Source organism: Homo sapiens, chromosome 10 (genome assembly GCF_000001405.40).
Source record: "Homo sapiens chromosome 10, GRCh38.p14 Primary Assembly".
In the NCBI taxonomy this organism is placed as follows: Eukaryota; Metazoa; Chordata; class Mammalia; order Primates; family Hominidae; genus Homo; species Homo sapiens.
In genome coordinates, this window is record NC_000010.11 from 42,693,250 (window position 1) to 42,715,158 (window position 21,909).

Sequence of the window (21,909 nt, forward strand, 5' to 3'; positions counted from 1 at the left end):
AAGTGCTGGGATTCTAGGCATGAGCCACAGCACCAAGCCCAGCCTGCTTTTCTTTAAATTTTCGGATAACACAGAACTCAGCAACACTTTGACAGTATGGATGATTACATACTATTTACAATATTATTGTCTTCCTCTATCTACTTGTTTATTTACTGAGAAAAAGGTGTCAGCATAATCACGGAAGCAACCTAATGAATAAACTACACCTTGATTATAAGAAAATTAAAATTGATTCATCCTTCTTGAATACAGAGTTTTAAAAATTCTTAAGAGAATTATGGCTTATTGAGTATGCCGCAATCCTTTTCTGTTACAAAAACAAAGACAAATGACTGCTTTGGGGTTATTTCCCCAAATAGCTTCCATGTGTTTCTCCATCTGGTACACTGCAAAACTTCTTTTAACTCCTAAGGCCTCAGGAGAATTTCACAGCCCCTTTATAAATCCTGGAAGTTCAGGAAAGTGCCAACACGTGCTGAGCATGCTAATTCCCAGTGTCCTTGGAAAGGAGTCTTGATAGTAGTGGACTCTCCCTTAGGGAAGTCTCACATGGCAGGAAACCAAGCGACTGTAACACAGGGTCTAGTTGTACGGTGATCTGCCTCACTCACTGTTCCTTGGGTTCGTTTTCCTCAGCTGGGCACACACAGAATTATGGCTTTGTTTGAACAGAGTTCTTTTGGACCATATGTACCTATGTTAGAGCCATTTGACTCCCTTCATTATTGGTGGTCTCCAAGCATAAGAAGAATATTGTAGGCCAGGCATGGTGGCTCATGCCTGCAAACTCAGCACTTTGGGAGGCCAAAGAGGAAGGATCACTTGAGGCCACGAGTTCGAGGCCAGCCTGGACAACATAGGGAGACCCCATCTCTACAAAAAATTTAAAAAATTAATTGTACATGGTGGTGCATGCCTGCAGTCCAAGCTACTTGGGAGACTGAGGCAGGAGGATCACCTGAGCCTGGGAGGTTGAGGCTGCAGTGAGCTATGATCACACCACTGCACTCCAGTCTGGGCAAGAGAGTGAGCTCCTGTCTCAAAACAACAACAATAGCCTCAACAACAAAAAGATAAAAAGAATATTGTAGATAAATGGGAGAATGTGTTCTTAGAACTCACCCACTCGAAACTCAAGGACATCAAATTGATAGTCTTGGTGACTTTCTAGGTAAAAATCTTCAAAATGAATATAAATAGATGAATTTCCCTGATTTGGATTGCTGAGAGTCCATTCACAGTTTAGGTTTCTCGAGTAATTCCTGACTCCGTCATAGCCAGGAGAAGTAAAGTTTCCTTCAGGAGTATTTGGAAGAGACCCACCACATACTAAGAAAACAGAAGGCAGCAGAAAGTAGTAGTAAGATTCAGGCCACAACAGAAGAGATAAACAATAGAGGAACAGTAACTAAAACATCAACATTACTGCTTTGATTTGTTTTTCTAGATGCAATCAGGATTATGGGTAAAAGGCATGCAAATTATGGAAGTTTCTGCACGTTTATAGAGGAAACATGTGCAAAAGTCGACAACTTCTCTATTTTCCTGTTGGTGTAGATTAGGTGGCTGGGGTTTGGCTCTGTATCAATATGTCCAAATATTGAAGCCTACTGCTCATTAATATTTAATTTAAAGGAATACCCAAATATAATGGTGGCAGGTCCTAATGGCTTGATAGCAATTCTCCACTTGATCTAATAATTTAATTTAAATCAAACAGATAATAAGACATTGACCTACCAATGAATTTGCCCCCTTTTAATAAAGGAACAGATGCTTCTTGTACCAATGAAATAACTTAGTGTTTTTTTTTAATATTCACTCCCACTTCTAAATTTTAAAACCCTTAGATAATAGCACCAATCCAGGAAATAGGAGGATATTTACAATTAGAGGCCATATCTTGCTTAATTTTGGAATATTCTATATCAAATCAAACCTCCCATTTATTTTCGCTGGAAATATGTGTGTGAATAGATGACCAGAAACAGTAAAGCCTGTTCTGTCCCAAGCAAAATTAATTACTCTCCGAGACTAAGTTACCTTCTAGGAGGTAGATGGTTTCTTTCAGCACCAAATAATTGACCAAGGACTACGGAACAGGTCACCAATCCTTTGGGTAACATGACTGAAACTGTGCAAGAAGCTCATCTAATGGCATTAAAAGTTTACCACAGCAGTTTCTTCCTGAAATCAGAAAGCTTTTTTCTGTCTGCAGTAAGTTTTTGATCTGCTTATATGTGTTTGTCTTATGTCAAATATTCCAAGTGAACTTTGATCACTAAAGGGAAAATGGATGGCTCTGCTGACATTGGCAGTAGCTGGGGGGCATCTGCAGTGCACCTGATTAAAATGAAGTACATTTACAATATCCTACATTATCTGCATCTTCACCGGAGGTATAAGAAGCAGTGAAGCCTCCATATGGCCTAGATCCATCCGTGAAAAAAATGACTTTCATTGTGTTTCCTGAAGATTTAATCTCACTGCTTACATTCACACTACTACACAGTTTCTCTAGCTGGGGTAAGTTACTTCTAATGCTATTGAATACCTATTGGAAAAAGAGTTTAACCTTTAGACACACAATCCATCTTACTGCATATTTCCTAGGAGGTGATATTCCTAGCCCAGACCCACTTCCTTCTATGGGAACCCTGCCCTAAAATGAATGACCTAACAATGCAGGTTTCTAACCCAGTGCCACAAGCCACTATGTTACCCTGAACACATTTTGTGACCTCAGGGTGATTTCACTAGAATGAAAGTATTGCAGTAATGCCTTCCTGCCATGTGGTGACAGATTAAAAGCTGCTATACACTTTGGAACTGGAAACTGAGCTCCCAATATAAAGGAGATAAGCCATCATGCTTACAATATGTTGTGCAGAGCTCACTGGTGGGCAGTTTTTCTTAACAATGCATCAGGACTTTTGCTATTTGTAAAGGAAGCTTAAAGGTTAGTTTCTGATGATTTGATATATATAATAAAGCAGATATTTTTATTTTAATATTTATTTATTTATTTATTTATTGAGATGCGGTTTTGCTCTTGTTGCCCTGGCTGGAGTACAATGGCATGATCTCAGCTCAGCTCACTGCAACTTCTGCCTCCCAGGTTCAAGCGATTCTCCTGCCTCACCCTCCCAAGTAGCTGGGATTACAGGCATGCACCACTGTGCCCAGCTAATTTTGTATTTTTAGTAGAGACGGGGTTTCACCATGTTGGTCAGGCTGGTCTCGAACTCCTGACCTCAGGTGATCCACCTGCCTCGGCCTCCCAAAGTGCTGGGATTACAGGTGTAAGCCACCATGCCCAGCAAGCAGATATTTTTAAATACCTTGAAAAGTAATTTGAAAAATCAATCTCCATATGCAATTAAACATAATAGTTCTTTCCTCATTAGTTATGGATTCAAAGCTTCAATTTTCTCATTTGAATTTTTAAGAATGGATTATTATTGACTCCAAAATATTAAATAATAACTGTAGTCATTCACATAGTTACAATAATTGGCAAATTGTTCCAATGCTGTACAAAATAAAAAAAATTTAGATGAAATAACTAAACAATAATTCATTGATTGAGTGATTGATATTCCAGTGTTTAAAAGGATTTGAATGACTCAAGATTAGAAATAATGACTCAGACTATGGCACTAAAAGTTACGCAGTAGGAGAATGCACTCCACAACAAAACATGTCAGTTTTTAAAATTTACTATAATTAATTAAATTTAGCTCTCTGGGGACTTCTGGTCTAAAGTGTCTTCCAGCTCACGCGACCAGAAGAAGAGTTTGCTATCATTTACCGAGCAGACAAAAATGCCAGTCTTGCTCATCATCTACTTAGTCTGTCTTATCCAATCAGCACAACACCCTCCCAAGCAGATAACAGTATCCCTGTTTTCCAGATTAAGATACCAGAATTCAGAATGATGATGTAATTTGCTGAAGTTCAAATAATTACTAATAATAGAACTGGGATTCAGACAATCCCTCTGATTCCAAACCATGAAGCAGTGTATAAAGAAATAGATGAGGACAAATATTTCTATAATGCTGAAAACAGGAATGGGCATCACATTGCCAAAATCAAAAGGGATTAGAACCAACTGTAAGGTTAATGGGACATGTTGGAAACCATGATCAATGGCTGTTATCCTGCCTCTGAGTCTGCCTTTGGCGTAGAATCACAATGACTGAACATGTTATAGTCATCCATTTATCACATGGACTTCTGCTGTTAGAAGCAACCAGAATGCAATTCTCATCATTGTGCTCTAATCCCTTTTGTACTCAGAAACTACAACTCTCAGAATACAAATGGATGGGAAGTAGGCACGTGAGATTTAGGACAGGCTATAACATTTGCTATGAACAGGGACAAAATCAGATACAGGTCATATTGTAGGACACACCGGGTGGCATAGCTTTTCATTTTCTCTGTCTGTACAGAGAGTCAGATAGGCAAGTGGGTTTGGAGAAATTTTAGGCTCAGACCAGCTGGATAAGGCATTAGCCACGAAGCAGTGCAATGAAAGTTAAAGCTGCCTCTGCACCAGCAGATCTTCTTTCTTCTTTACTCTTTTTTTTTCTTCTCCTTCTTCTTTTCTCTTTCTCCCTCTCCTTCTCAATCTCCTCCTTCTTCTCTTTCTCCTTCTTCTTCTTATCCTTTTCCTCTTTTCTCCTTCTTCTTTTTTCTCCTTCCCTTCTCCCTCTGTCTCTTTCTCCCTCTCCTTCTCCCTCTTCTTCTTCTCCCCCTTCTTCTTCTCCCCCTTCTTCTTCTCCCCCTTCTTCTTCTCCCTCTTCTCCTCCTCCTTCTCATCCTCCTTCTCCTTCTTCTGCCTCTTTCGTCTTCTTCCTCTTTTTGGCAAGTTGTCAATCAAGTAGAGTGGCAGCAAAGGCAGACCCACATGCCCTTGTTTGGAGCAGAGTAAAGAGGAACCAAAATAAACATTGAACATATAAAAATATATTTCAGAAAAAGGAATGTGGACATTATACTAAAGATTCAGAAAAAAAATTAATTCCGAAAGTGATTCCTTGCTGGAGTTTTAACCTCCCCAAGAGAAAAGTCCTGTGGATATGACATTTGTAGATTTGTAGGTTTCCTTATTTAAAGAGTCAGGGCACCCTCATGCATACAGAGATGCCAGTCATCCTTTTGGCAATTCATTCTTAAATATGAATGAACAGCCAAGGATCAGCAGACATTTAGGGAACTGACTAATGTAAAAGGCAGAGACCAATATGAGTAAACGGGAGATAGGAACATGAAGAAAACTGACCCCAAATAAGCAACACAAAACTTCAAAATTACTATTAATATATTCTTGTATATATTAATATAGTAAACATGTAAAATATTTAAATATATATTTTTCAAAGAACGATGGTAAAATAAAGATAATTTCAGGTATATCATTTCTTTAAAAATGTATTGCCCTTGCCCATTTCCTTGGGGAGCTACAAGAGGGTATGCCTCACCAAAAGAGGAAATTAACCAAGAAAGGGACGTGCATAGCATCACAAAGCCAGCTTTCTAGCCCAAGAGCAGAATGAAAGAACTTGCAAATCTGCTGGCAAAGGGAAATTCTGAAATGACAGCTAGCATCAGGCTTGCAGCTGTGGACAAAGGCTCAAGGAAGGATATTACTGAGGAAAAGAAATGGAACTGATATGTTTTACTACAGAAGGTGAAGATGAACACCCAGGGTGGAAAGGGTGTGGAAGAATTAGTGATCAGTGCTTAAAACCCAAGAAAATGTAAAGAGGACACAATTATTATTATTCCTTGGGAAAACAAAAACAAATGTTGCCACAGTACACTACTTGGCTCAGTTGTGAATGGTGTTTATGTAATCATGGTAATGTCAACTAAATGACAATTTAAGCAAAAGCTGTGACATATGTATTTTGGGAGACATTTGGGAAAGTATATAAACTGTGCATACCCCATGTGCATTTGTGGTGGCAGAGGGCTAATTCTCATCTTCCAGAGTAGGATGTGGATAGATAATGTCCAAAAAAAGCAAGGAGTAGTAGAATAGGAATATTATATAGAAATAATGACATAAAACCCACCGGCAGTAGCTGCAAGAGTTATAAGTTGATAATTAAGGGATAGGGAGATGACAACTAAGATCTGCTTTGGAATTTGTGGTTGTGGCTATAACTTTTATCTTTATTTGAGTTCTAAAACTATGACTGTTCATATTCTGTTTCCTAAAGGACATGTGAATACTCTGCTTATAAAATTCCTAATAATCATTATATTCAGTATGATTTAAACTATGAAAATAATTTCAAAGGTAAAAAACAACTGCTCGCATATACATCAAAATTTTAGTAATAGATGAGTAGAATTAAAAATATCTTTATATTTTTTATTTTCTGAACTCTCCAAATATTGCTCAATAAGCATCCATTATATTTATTACCAGAAAAATAGACTAAAATTAGAATTCAAGTGGATTTATATCATATAATTACAGTACATAAAATATGCTTTGCCAAGAAGAGATGAGAAAATGCATCAAAATATGATATAGTGGGACTGGTTAGTATTTTTTCTACTTCATCTCTGTTTATATATATTCAATCAATAATAGGAAACAAAGTTTCTTTATAATAAACAACCTTAGTCCAAAATTTCCTGTCTCTCAAATAAAAGAAAACACACTTGGTTTCTTATTTTCAAGATCTGAAAGACAACTGTTCAGTCCTTCAGATATTAGAACTTGGAAATAAAATCTGAAGGTTGAAGGAGATCATTTTAGGGCGATACAAAGTGGTCATAAGATACAAATATATTTCATATTTTTGAAATTGACTACCCAACAGAAGACAATTAAACTGAAAACAGAAGTGGCTTCTTATTAAAGGGATAATGATAGTACCTCTACCATCCATTCATTCAACAACTATTTATCTCTATTATATACAGGCATTGGGGATTCAGTGAGTCTCCAGCAGTGAATGAAACTATGGCTTGACCTCAGGGAGCTTACATTCTAGTGGGGGAAGCGGACAATAAACTGATGAACAAATCAAAATGATGTGTGGCAGCAGGTGTAAAGTGCTGTAAAACAACATGGCAGAGAAGTGGCAGGCCAGGGTGGGGTCTCTAATATAAGGTACTTACACCGTATGGATTAAAAGGCATTCAAGCAGAGACCTGAATGAAGTGAGGGTGTGGAGCAGGCTGCCATCTGAGAAGGGGCATTCCAGATGAAGGCAACAGCTGGACAGGGAGCATCTCAGCACATTCAAGGAACGGAACGGAGGCCAGGTGGCTGGACCCCAGCGAGCAGAGAATAGGGGAGTTTGAGATAAGGCAGATAGGTAGAAGAGGGAGGGGCAGCAGATAATGTTGGCCAGGTGGGCCACAGGTGCAATTTGGGATTTTCCTCTGAGTGAGATGAGAAGCCATTAGAGGATTTTCAAAGGGAGCAACATGATCTGATTGAGGCTTAAAACCATCACATGCTGCTGTGTTGAGAATGTAAGGAGTTGAGAATGGAGGCAGTGGGACCAGGTGGAACTTACTAAAATAATCTAAGTGAACGGTGGGGGTGGTAGTAGTAGATATAATAAGTAGTTTGATTGTGGATTTTTTTTATTTTATTACTATTATACTTTAAGTTTTAGGGTACATGTGCACTATGTGCAGGTTTGTTACATATGTATACATGTGCCATGTTGGTGTACTGCACCCATTAACTCGTCATTTAGCATTAGGTATATCTCCTAATGCTATCCCTCCCTCCTCCCTCCACCCCACAACAGTCCCCGAAGTGTGATGTTCCCCTTCCTGTGTCCAAGAGTTCTCATTGTTCAATTCCCACCTATGAGTGAGAACATGCGGTGTTTGGTTTTTTGTCCTTGCAATAGTTTGCTGAGAATGATGGTTTCCAGTTTCATCCATGTCCCTACAAAGGACATGAACTCTTCTTTTTGTGGATATTTTTAAAGAGACACCCAACAGGACTTGCTTATAGATGCCATATAGGGTGTGAGAGGAAGTATTCCAAAACAGACATCAAGATTTTTGACCTTAGCCACCAGAAGTTTGGAATTATTTACTGAGATAGCATATACTGCAGAAGGGGCAAGTTGGGTGGAGAAATGTACTAATATTAATCCAATCTACCTATCTACACACACATATGTATGTGTAGCACTTCACAGTTAACAATCTATTTGTTATTCACACTCAGGGATCTCATTTGCTTTCTTTCACTGCAGGAAGCTGAGAGTGCTGAGGGCACATCTGAAACCACTGGAGGTTGGCGACGTGGAGGTCAGGTAGTAGTGCTCTCCCACCAGGAGTCCCTCTGCACCCCTGGAGAGAGCAGTCATTATGCAGGACAACCCATCTGCTCAGAACTTTCAGTGGCGACTTGTGGTGTGACTCTGTTCCCATTCATCTATGTGCTGCTGTAGGCTTAGCTTCCCACAGCCTCCCCAGCTTTGCCATTTGTCATTATCATTTACTCTTAATATTTATTCTATCTATGACCCTGATGCACAGAGTGATAGCTGATAGTCTCTTAAAACAACGTTTACAATTATTTTGACAGTTTACCGTGTTTTGTTCTCTCAACAATACTTAGAATTTGTCTGAGTTATAGTTGCATAGACGGCAATTTTCCTGACCTAGTTTTCTGACTATGATTTATGGGTCAGTAAACTCCTTAAATGATGGAATATAACATCTCAGGCCACAGGGAACACTTACTATCACATGCTCACTGTTGCAGGACGGATGCGTGGCCAGCCTCAGGTTGCTAAATGTTAGGGTGATCTGCCTTCCTTCTGGGGCGGTGATTCTCCACTTGTAGATCCGGCCATGAGGATTTAGGTTCGGGTAGTTGGGAGAAGTAGATGTTCCAGCAGAGCCCTGAAGATCCCCACCACACTCTGATGTGGGGGAAGAAAGCCAAGAAAACTTCCAATCAAATCAAAATGTCTCCTTCCATCAGGAAAGCTCTCAAAATTCAGGTATTTAAAAATTATCCTTCTAGACAAAATTATTCACCGTATTTATGTGCGTGAGGATTTCAGTGAACATATACATTGATTTCCTATCTCTATTAATATTTAACCCTGGCTTCCATGGATGATAGTCCACAGACAGCAATTTAATTATCATCATGGCCCAAGAAATATGAGAGATCAATGAATATAATGAACTTAAGAATCACGAAAATCAGGTCGGGTGTGGTGGTTCACGCCTGTAATCCCAGCACTTTGGGAGCCCAAGGCGGGCAGATCACAAGGTCAGGAGTTCAAGACCAGCCTGACCAACATGGTAAAACCCTGACTCTACTAAAAATACAAAAATTAGCCGGGCGTGGTGTTGGGCACCTGTAATACCAGCTACTCAGGAAGCTGAGGCAGGAGAATTGCTTGAACCCAGGAGGCAGAGGTTGCAGTGAGCCAACATCGCTCCATTGCACTCCAGCCTGGGTGACAGAGTGAGATTCCATCTCAAAAAAAGAAAGAATCAGGGAAATCAGCCAGGAGTGGTGGCTCACGCCTGTAACCCCAACACTTTGGGAGGCCAAGGCAAGACCCCATCTTTACAAAAAAAAAAAAATCAGGAAAATCAGAAGGTTAATGTAGGTATCCAGTTTTTCCAAACAAGATCTTTATTTCATCTGAGTTTGTTGGATTTGCAGTGAGGCAAATTCTGAGTAACTACAGGACTTTCTTAAGGCAGGCATTGCAGTATAACTCTCATCCTCTTATTGTATCTCTCGTGATACTAGTTATTTTCCCTTATAGCACTGATCACAGCTGTAACTTTTTGTTTATCAGTGTGACTTTTTGATTAAGGTCCAAGAAGATAGGGGTCATGTTTTGTTTTGTTTTTCAAACTATTGTAACACCAGTGCCTAGCATAGTGTCTGTCCAATGCAGGTGCTCAATGTTGTTTTGAATGAATCAATGAAATCACCGTCTATGCTGGATTCAAATCGCAGTCTGAATCCTGAGGCAGTCAGAGAGCCATCTATGACAAACCTGACCATGGCAGTATTGCTAGAAGTCTCTATGCTGTCAGGAATGGTGTTTGCACAGTATCTTCCCAAGATGTTTCCTGTGAGAGACAAATAATTAAATATATATGTCCAGGTGATTGATTTCTTTTAACCTCTATTCAAGGTGTCCTGCGTGTACAAAGAAAATAATAAAAAACAAGACCTTGCCCATGAAGAAATATTAATCTCTCTCAAGAAAACAGGAAAACATGAATGAAAATTAACATATTCAAATATATGAAGAAGTGAAAAAAATGCAACCAGTTAGGGGAAGGATATCTCAGGATAATGAGGAAGGCCAGTTTTTTGGTTGAAAAAGTGGTTTGAGACAACAGAGTGACAAATATCTGCCTTATGCTACTGCCAGGAGACATGCATGACCCTCTTTCTGCCTCAAGCTATAGAACACCCCTCAAATAACGGCATCTGGCAATGGGATGTCTCAGCAGCAACAGGTTGCCTTCCCACTACCGTTGCTCTCCCCAGGTGGCCTCCAGGGTAGGCTATATGACACCTGGGCTCTGGACATCCATTGTTAATGGTAGAATTGAGGTAGAGAATCACTGGTACTGCCCAAAGCCCATTAATCTGCACTTCTTTGCAGAGTATAGACATGCTTTGCCTTTCTTGGAAGTGAAGAAACTTCAGAGGCTGAATAAGTACATGCGAAAATAAACACCCCAAAGAGAGCAGATATATTTCACTAACCAGAAGTATGATAGTCCCAGGTCTCCACAAAGTCTTTTTCACAGCCAGAGGAATTCTGAAGGTTAAAATCTTCAAAAGAGATGGTGAGATAGTGTCTGGAGAGCCCCTGGAGATGCCAATCACAGAATAAGTTGTCTCTATATGGAAGCATTAGATGGCCAATGCTTTCAACAACACCACTTTGCCCTGTTACTCTTCCCCCACACTGAGCTGAAAAAAAAAAGAAAGAAAGAAAGAAAAGAAAGAAAGGATTCTATTACAAACTGTGTTTTTTTCATTTCACCAGCACATGTGAAAACTTTTAGGTGCCAAGTGACTATGAATTGAAGTTTTTAAAATTCTGAAAATGCTTAGTGCTTTCCTCATTATTTGAATTCTAGGGTTGATGTAAACAGAAGTGATACCACAAGTCCAATCCAATAATGGGAAACAAGATGACGACCAAATGGCACATTCTGTAATGTCACATTAATTCTTTTGGGACACTATGTAAGAGCTATCAGTTGCAAGCAAGTTTCATCTCAAGAACAAACTGGTAGACTCATCTGACCTGCCTAGAACCTTGTGTTGATTCTAAAGACTGAACCCAAGCTCACCTGGAAGGGGGGACACCTGCTATATCTAGTTTTACTATCAACTAAACTTTCACTACTGTAACTGATATCTCAGGGCCTTGAAAATTACTATTCAATTATGTCTTATTAGCTGGATGTGGTAGCTAATTGAATTATATGCAGCTTGACCCGGGATATAATATGATCTATGGTGTAGTTAAATACTGTTACAACTAGCCTTTCTGAACTTTTGCTATATTAAATATTTGTTTGGTTTGTGTCTAGACCTATCAGATACTAAATTGTGTGCTATTGTGACCATACTATAGTGAATCTTCAACAAGCAAAGTTACTGCTCAATTTTTAAGTAAGGAAATCAAAATCCTGAAGAGACATATTTGCTTTTTATCCAGTGACTGATTTGGCACTAGAGACTCAGAGAAAAAAAAAAAGCTTAATCATTTTATATATGATGAGGAATTCAAAGACATTGTTCTAAATATAGTTATCTGGTTCTTAAATAGTTGTATTACTTAAAGTAATAAACATACTGTAGTTCTTCCTTTTCCTTGGCGGATACATTCCAAGTCCCCCCAGTGAGTGCCTAAAACCTTGGATAGTACCAAACCCTATATAGACATATAGACAATTTTTTTCTACATATATGTACCTATGATAAAGCTTGCTTTATCAATTAAACGTAGTAAGAGATTAACTAATAATAAAATAGAACAATCATAACAATATACTGTAAGAAAAGTTATGTAAATGTGGTCTCTCAAAATATCTTGGTGTACTGTACTCACCTATTTTTTGGGCCTCTGTTTACCAAGTGCATTGAAACCATGGAACATGAAACCATGGATAAGAGAGAACTACTGAATTTCATAGTAAGCAGAAGAAACAGGAGTTTGATTTAACTACACATATTTCTTCACAAATAAGTTAGAAAAAATATAAAATATTCAAGTTTACTAAGATTACATTTTAAAATAAAAATTAAAAGAGAAATTAAAGTTGATGACTGTGGTTTTAAACATTTACACTCCTTACTTATTTATAGCATTAAAATATTTTTAAAATTATGCAGATAGAATGACTTCTTTTTAAAAAGTCATGGTTTTAAAAAAAGTTTTAACATATTCATCCTGTAATAACTCTTTTATTTAATATAAAAATGTTTTCCAGGGTTTTTATAGTTTTGTGTTTTACAGTTAAGTCTTCAATCTATCTTGAATTGATTTTTGTATATGGTATAAGGAAGGGGTCCAGTTTCAATCTTCCGCATATTGCTAGCCAGTTCTCCCAGCATCATTTATTGGATAGGGAGTCTTTTCCCCATTGCTTGCTTTTGTCAGCTTTGTTGAAGATCAGATGCCTGTAAGTGTGAGGCCCTATTTCTAAGCTCTCTATTCCATTTTATTGGTCTATGTGTCTATTTTTGTACCAGTACCATGCTGTTTTGGTTACTGTACCCCTGTAGTATAGTTTCAAGTCAGGTATTGTGATGCCTCCAGCTTTGTTCTTTTAGTTTAGGATTGCCTTGGTTATTTGGGTTCTTTCTGGGGTCCATATGAGTTTTAAAATAGTTTTTTCTAGTACTGTGAAGAATGTCATGGTAGTTTGATAGGAATAGCATTGAATATGTAAATTTGGGGAAGCAGTATGACCACTTTAATAATACTGATTCTTCCTATCTATGAGCATGGAATTTTTTTTCATTTGATAGGGTGGAGGGTGGGAGAAGGGAGAGGGGCAGAAAAAATAGCTATTAGATACTAGGCTTAGTACCTGAGTGATGAAATAATCTTTATAATGACCCCCATGGCACGAGTTTACCTATATAACAAACCTGCACATGTAACCCTGAACCTAAAATAAAAGTTAAAAAATATATATTACCTATAGAATACTTGGCCTTGAATCCCACATGAGTGGGGCTGTTGTCAGAATGAAATCTCAAATACATAACCTCTCCTGACGACCACTGACTGCTGGGCAAAGATGTCCCACAAAATTTGGAAAGTATTGGTGCATCTGAATCCACTCCATCCCACAACTAGGGGTAGTTAGAAGGACAGCTAAAGTGGAAACAAAATTATGTTAAATTTACATGGTCAATTGCCTTGACTTATTTTGATAATGACAACTTCACTTACTTTCTTTGAAGATATTATTAAATCATCATTTCTTAGCATAAAAGACTATGATAGAATCAGCGTAAGCCATGTGTCACATTAAAATGCTGTATGATATTTTTCCTAATAATACATTCTTTCATTAGCAGCTCAGAAAGACAGGTTTTACATGTTCTACATTGAAGAATATTTACTTCCCTTCCATATTCTGTATTGGTTTTACAAATATAAATGTTGTTTTCAAATTAATCCCTATGAATTTCAAAAAAAAACAAGTATTTTGTTCCACACAATGATTTGGTACATTTCACATGATAAAGATAAATTCTCTAACAGCTCTGTAATTGGGACTAACAGAGAGTCCCAACTGGAATTTTCTGTGTCCATAAGAGTAGACAAGCATGTATCTAGCGTTTCTTGAGGAACTTACATCAGCTAATTAATGCTCCATGAGTGGAAGAGTAGTATTAAATCCAGTGTCAGAAATAGCAACAAAAGCTCTTATATCTTAGTTTTGCACCACAGCTGCATTCATGCAAATGTATACACACTTTTGTTAAAGGAAAGAGGAAAACGGTTTTTTACAATCTATATATTTTTACTTTCTCTTCAACATAGTAAGACTTACTCTCTGTTTTGTAATACTTTCAGAACTCTTATTAAATAAAGACTGAGAAATTATACTGTACGTGCTTTAGTACTGTTCTGACACTAGTGACCCCTGGTGACACACCACACAAATTCCCATTTGTTAAACAGACATTTTATCATTTGTGACACTGAATAAGAGGCTGGGCAAATAAATATTCATCTCTCAGAAACATGACATATTTCCTGCGGGAGGAAGAATGGATAAACATCAATCTCAAGTAGCCATCCTCAACGTCCCTTGCAGGAAGTGTCTAGGGTCACAAGGGACAGTATCCATGTACATAACCTACTCAGCTGATGGGAGAGTTGCTGGCAGACTGTGTTTTCATGCCTGAGTTATTAAGCATTTCCCTTTTTCCCTAGATTTGCTTGCAGTATGTGCTACTGAAAGAAATGAATTGTTCTGAGACATGACAGTTAAAAAATACTAACTTCGGGTAGGAAAAAAGTGAAAATGGAAGTGACATACTTGGGTGTTATTTCAATATCAAATTGATCTTCAAATTGCAGCCGTATGCATGTTTCCGGTGGAGCCGCTAAGATCCAAATGCAATCAGCGTGCAGGGGATAATTATCAGGGTGGGTGGGGGAGGTCACATACCCAGCAGAATCAGCTTTATGGATGTAGATGTTGCCCCCACAGGCTGTCAGCAAACACAGTTAAATCAATCTACGCTCTGGTGAAGGAGATGCATTCAATGGACAAAAATCATCTTTTAAAGTCAACTTCTCTGTAATTTGTCTCAATTTCCTTTCATCTGTTATGATCCTCATTTTCTTTTCCAGCAAACGAATTCTCAATTTGCTATCGAGGCAGCTACCAGGTGTGACACTTTTTAATTTGCCAGATCATCTATCTATTCTCATTGGAAATTTCATTCTTTCTTAAAGCCAACCAAATGATTATGGCACATTGTGCATGGGGCAGAACATCACAGAAGCACGAATAAATATCCAGCACTTCGATAAGCATGTAAGTATGCTAGCAGTTACAGCTTCCCACTGAGCGTTCAGTACAGCAGAATGATGCAGAGCTATGATCTTGGTATACTTAAAAGACTAAGCAGATGTATCTTTGCACAACTCTGGGGGCATTCATTCATCACATTTCTTCAGGATTTAGATGCATTTGAGAAACAAGGTCAATGGCATGAGACAATTTATAAGCCATGTTTTGCTAGATGATAACGGAGCTTTTTAATACTTCTTTTCTAAAAAAAAAAAAAAGTATTATGGAAAAATACTTTTCTATTGTCAATAAATATTCTTTGGCATTTTCAACAAACAAACCAGACAGGAATAAATGTACTTACAATGCCAATGCCAATGAAATTAACCTGTCCAATCACTTAGCCACACAGATACTTGATCTGCTCAACTCTAGCAACATTTATGTCCACTGTCACTCATCCACTTACAGTCACATCCTGAATTCTGTCAATACCTCCAACTCCCCCATTTCTGAAACTGTAAATTGCAAATCTCTTTGATGACGTCCAACTCCCTTGCTTCATGTCTTTCCTTCAATGTCGAAAGACGTTCACAAAGGGACCTATGTTAAAGGCTGAGAAATAGGAGTAGCATGGAAGTAGATATGGTGGGAAGATAGCCAGATAGATATGGGAAGTAGAAGCCTGGCTATAGTTATGGAACATGGTTGAGTTGGTAAGTAGAGAGAAATAAGAGTGATGCTATTGTTTCAGGTTGCCAAAAATAGGTTGTGAAATCAAAAGACTTTTGTTTAAGTCTGATGTTAATGGCAGTAATAACAAGCTTCATGAAAGACAGGGAGAAAGCAATGGCCATAGCCATACTTGCATGAACAGTGAGTCCACAAAGAAATAGAAGAGGTGCAGTGTCAAATATACCCTTAGTGTATCTCTTAGTGTATCTGAATTACCATTAAATGTTGACTTTAAAAACTTAAATCAAGACTGAGTCTATTGGCTGGGCACAGTGGCTCACTCCAGTAATCCCAGCACTTTGGGAGGCTAAAGCAGGTGGCTCACCTGAGCTCAGGAGTTCAAAACTAGCCTGGGCAACATGGTGAAATCCCATCTCTACCAAAAATACAAAAATTAGGTGGGCGTGATGATACATACCTGTAATCCCAGCTTCTAGGGAGGTTGAGTAAGGAGAATCACTTGAACCTGGGCGGTGGAGATTGCCTTAAACTGAGATCACACCACTGCACTCCAGCCTGGGTGACAGAGCAAGACCCTGTCTCAAGAAAGAAAAAAAGACTGAGTCGATCTTAAATAAAAATAGAAAAGTAGAATTCTGTCATGTGGGCTGACATCTACTCACTAGACTCAAGACACTGCTACTCTCAAAATGCTTTGGTACCAGGTGAAAACCCGCCCATTCCTGACTCAGTTGCAAAGCTCAACATGGAGAGAGGGAGGGGTGAGAAGGTCCCAGCCTAGAAAGCCATAGTGCAGGTGCCCACAGAGCTGCATTAAAGCTCCCTCCTTGTGCCAGAGCTCTGTGCACTGGGAAGTGACCAAAGCCCCTTCCCTGGTGTTTTGGACCTTACTCCAGCTATTCGATTATTTTTGTGTGTCGGTTGGTAAACACTCTTACTCATTTCTTTTACCAAAATGAAGAAATGATGTTGACTTTAAATCTCATACAATGTGCAATAAAACATATGATTTCATTGATATTTATTTATATATAAATACATTTAGGAATCTGGGATACAAGTCATAGGATCATTTTGAAATCTATATTATCTAACTTCTGGTGTGACAAAGCAAAAATTTATTATTATATTACTTTCTACTGACATTACTCCGTTTTTTGGAAGTGATGCCTATTTATTTATTTAATTTATTTATTCAATTAAACATTACTGAAAAGTAAATGTCACCAAAATCAAATCATTACAGTAGAATTAAATGCAATTATAATCAAGTGCAATTAAGTACAAGGAATTAAGGAAAGATCTTAGGTAATATATAATTAAATCAGTAATAATAGAATCAAAAGATTATATGTTCTTTTAAAAACAGCATACACATTATTACAAAATAAGGCAAATGTAATTCTTATAATGTTTCTATAACTAGATTTAACTTACAATTAGACATCTTATAATGGAAAGGTCTAAGGAGTTTCAGGGATCAAGAAGAATAGTGTATCTTATACTCATGGAAAATTTCACTTTGGTCACTAATTAGATATGTGGCCTTGGAAAAGTCCAAGCCTCGTTTTACTTATCTTTAAAACCGAAATAATGGTACTTTACTTGAAAAGTAGTCACAATGAGATATTGAATGTATCAAACATAATAAGTACTTGAGAGTAGGCATTCTTATTAATTCTATTACTGTTAGTTCAGAAAAGAAAACTTTATATGTTTTTTTCTCAAATCTACTTAATCAAAGAAGACCAAGCAATTGCAGGAAAAGTAGATATAATTCTCAGTGAAAATACTTACCTTAACTCTTTGCCTCATATTTGATCTTAAATCCTTGCCCTTCATTACTATAATCAGAAATAAACTGAACAAACATTTGATTATCCGAGGTGAACACAGTCGATGAAGCACGACTGCCACAAAAATGAACATTTCCTCCACAGGGTCCGAAGGGTGGAGAATAGATATCAGGGCCATTTCCTAGCTGGAAAGACAAATTAAAATTGCATCAACTCCTTTACATTGCAAAAGAAGGAGTACGTAATTCTTATCCATTTATGTCCCAGGAAAGAAAAATTATCATTTTGTTTTCTGAATGAAGTCTGTGGAAAACATAATTAGAAAGGGTAGCAAGCAAGACCTACCACCAAGTAATCCCCCTGGTTGCAAGAAGAATCACCATTTGGAATCTGGAAAGGCTGTTCAAAATGGACAGCAATGGTCAGGCCACTTTGGACCAGGACGTGCCAGGAACAGTTGAGGTTGGATGGGTAGGTCTCTGGATACCTGGGGAACATGATGATCCCTTGTCTGCATGCAAATATCCACCAGAGCCTCCCCACAAAGAAACAAAGGTAGGTTATTTCAATAGAATTGGCAACTGGATTTTTATGCTTTCTTAGTTTTCTTGGGGGGTTTTCACAGTGTAGGCAATAAAAATGCTTGAAAATAAAGCCAGAGTGTAGGAAATGATTAGCATAACAAGCATGTATTGAGCACATGCTATTGGCTACTCCGTTTGTGGTGGTTGTTGAGATATGGGATATAGAGGTAAGTAATGAAGACAAATTACCTACTTTCATAAAGATTTCTTTATAGATGGGGAAGACATAAAATAAACAATACATAATATGTGAGATAGTGATAAATTCTATAAAGAAAAATGGATGGGAGGAGGGAGAAGGGTACTTTATTGTCAGAGTTAAGTTGGAAAAGCCACGTCATTGGAGTAACATCTTAGCAGAGACATTAATGAAATAAAGAATCAAGCCAGATGTTTATGTGGGAGAAAGCATTCCAGTTCAGAAAACAGTTAATGTAAAGGCTTGATGTGGCAGAGGTACATCATGGAAGTCAGAATGGATGAGGCAGAATGAGAGATTCCAAAGGTAGCAGCATGTCTAGGTCATGCAGGAAACTGAAAAGACTTATTCTGAATAAGAAGAGGAAGACGAAGGGTTTTGGGCATCAGAATGGCATGATCTCACTTACATTTGAAAATATCACTCTATGTGCAGTCCTTAGACTGTAAGGAGTGGAGGGCAGGGAAGGGCAGGAGCAGAGTGTCCAATAAAAAGGGGACTGCCTGAGGCCAAGGAGAGATGATAGGTGCATGGGCTAGGCTGGTAGCAACAGAAATGGAGAGGCGTGGTTGAAATCTAGATACATTGTGAGGGTAGAGCCAGTGTGATTTGTTGATGGTTAAGTGTGAGACAAACAGAAAAGTCAAAAATAACATCAAGATTTTTGACTTAAATAATGAGAAAAATGTACTTTCCATTTGCTAACATTGTGAGGAGTGTAGAATTGGGGGCGGTGGTGGCATGGAAAAGGGTGGGAATAAAGTGTTCAGTTTTCAAAGGTTACATTTTTTGTTATTGGTTATCTATCTATCTAATTGTGGTACAAGTGGTTTTTGGTTAAATGGATGAATTGCATACTGGTGAAGTCTGAGATTTTAGTGCACTTGTTACCTGGCTAGTATACATTACACCCAATATGTAGTTTTTTATCCCTCATACCCCACCCATCCTCCCTGCTTATGAGTCTCCAAAGTCCATTATATCACAGGTTAAATTTGAAATATATTCTAGACCATGAGCTGCCAAGTATATATATATGCACACACACACATATATATACACAAACACACTTATAGATACACATATTTATATATATTATATACATATATACGCACACATATATACACACACACATATAAATCAATTACAATGGTTCTACCCTCACTATATACATTCATATGTATACATGTATGTATGTATAATGAGCTGCCATACATATTAATGTATACATGACAGTGAGAGGGCAGGAGGTGAAGGAAGAGAATGAAAGGAGCAGGCATTAATTCTCCAGTGGTCAGGGACTAGAAGCTCATCAGCAAGGAAGGGTAGACAGCTCACACAGCTAGTTAAATTGCAGAGGTGAAAATTTATCCCTTGTAAGTTGGATTCCTAGGTATTTTATTCTCTTTGAAGCAATTGTGAACGGGAGTTCACTCATGATTTGGCTCTCTGTCTGTTATTGGTGTATAAGAATGCTTGTGATTTTTGCACATTGATTTTGTATCCTGAGACTTTGCTGAAGTTGCTTATCAGGTTAAGGAGATTTTGGGCTGAGATGATGGGGTTTTCTAAATATACAATCATGTCATCTGCAAACAGGGACAATTTGATTTCCTCTTTTCCTAATTGAATACCCTTTATTTCTTTCTCCTGCCTGATTGCCCTGGCCAGAACTTCCAACACTATGTTGAATAGGAGTGGTGAGAGAGGGCATCCCTGTCTTGTGCAAGTTTTCAAAGGGAATGCTTCCAGTTTTTGCCCATTCAGTACGATATTGGCTGTGGGTTTGTCATAAATAGCAAACACCGCATGTCCTCACTCATAGGTGGGAATTGAACAATGAGAACACTTGGACACAGGAAGGGGAACATCACACACCGGGGCCTGTCGTGGGGTGGGGTGGGGGGAGGGAGGATGGATAGCATTAGGAGATATACCTAATGTAAATGATGAGTTAATGGGTGCAGCACACCAACATGGCACATGTATACATGTGTAACAAACCTGCACATTGTGCACATGTACCCTAGAACTTAAAGTATAATTAAAAAAGAAAATTTATCTTAGGTCTAATTCCAAAGCCCATGCTCTTAAGCCACTATGCAGCCTGCCTCTCTTGAGTGTGAGGAACACAATTTATCGTCAGTTGCTCCCTACTTTATAAAAGGTATATATAAGCATGGAGGAAATATTAGATTAATTTTTAATGTTAGATTGAGAATCTACTTTAAAATTATGTTTTTCAGTTAAAAACATGGGAGTCTTTCACTCTTCCATGGACTACTTTATTACCTTTCATTTAGTTTGGATTTAAGGCTGTTAATGGACTTCACATGTCAAGTTTGAAAAGTCTCAATCATACTGTGCATGATGGCATCCCATATATGGTGCCTGTTTTTGACTCATCAAGTTCATATTTCAAGAGCAACAAACCCTTCCTGCCAACCCTCAAATGGATGACTTTAACCAAGTAATTCATAAGGATAAATGATGACGTTTTGCTCCGTCGATGAGTTACGGATATGAGCTGTGCTCTAGTTCCAGCCCTCAGCTAGGCTGAAAAATTGCTTTAAAGCTCTCTCTCATGCATTTCATGGAGACACCTCCTCTGGAGTGAAGATGCCCCACCCAGAGGCCTGAAGCAGGACACTTTTGTACGACTTGGCCACAGTGCTTTGGATCAGGAATCAGCATTGACATAAGGGGAGCCAGCCATCCAGAACCTGGGCAGAGACCCATGTCCTCTGACGTGGCTTGTGTCCTCGTGCCCAGAAAGCTATATTAGGAAGAGAGAAAGAGAGAGGAAAGCAGAGGAGATGGGATAACATGGGATTAAAAAAATATTTAAACTCATTACTCTTGTGAAAGGATGCACTGAAGCCTGCCCTGGTTACACTGGAGTCCAAGGTGAAGCGGATGACCGTGTACTCTCAGTAGACCGGATGGGCCCAGGGATCTCTCTGCCACAGAGAACTGCTAGCTTCTGGGCCAAGTCATTTTCTCCTACATTGAAAGAAAGGAAACAGCATGAAAATACAGTCTTGAGAATCTGCTCTATCATCATTTGCAACTTAGCCGAAGCATCTCACACATTTTTTTCAGAACATCAGGATTCACAGGAGATAATGGGATTCTCAAAAAGAAGGACCCCTCAGGGGTGATATCATTCTGGCTCCAGCTTGCAATGGTGCTGCCTGCCCTTTTCTTTATCACCCTGCCTTTTTTTTTTATTTTATGAGATGGAGTCTCCCTCTGTTACCCAGCTTGCCCAGGCTGGTCTCGAACTCCAGAGCACCCACCTCAGACTCCCAAAGTGCTGGGATTCCAGACATGAGCCACTGTGCCTGCTCTCAGACCTCAGTATTTTTTAAGGAGCACATCTGAGTTCTTCCACACTGGCCACTGACATATTACACACAGTTAAAATCTGGGTTTTAACATTCAATGCATTGAATAGCACTGAATCTGTAAATTTGGGGGAGAAGTATGGCCATTTTAGTAATATTGATTCTTCATATCTATGAGCATGGAATGTTCTTTTCATTTGATAGGGTAGAGGGTGGCAGAAGGGAGAGGAGCAGAAATC

General features: G+C 38.5%; 1 long non-coding RNA gene and 1 pseudogene across 2 annotated transcripts; one reads left to right on the top strand and one right to left on the bottom strand.

Moving 5' to 3' along the window:
- Positions 1,122-21,327, bottom strand: CUBNP1 (cubilin pseudogene 1; annotated as a pseudogene).
- LINC02632 (long intergenic non-protein coding RNA 2632) lies at positions 2,786-13,204 on the top strand. 2 transcript variants are annotated; one of them, NR_184025.1, is made up of 4 exons: positions 2,786-2,962; positions 8,253-8,312; positions 8,768-9,008; positions 10,173-13,204. It is a non-coding gene; the product is annotated as a long intergenic non-protein coding RNA 2632 (long non-coding RNA). The 2 variants fall into 2 exon arrangements; NR_184024.1 differs by having other exon boundaries at positions 11,137-13,204.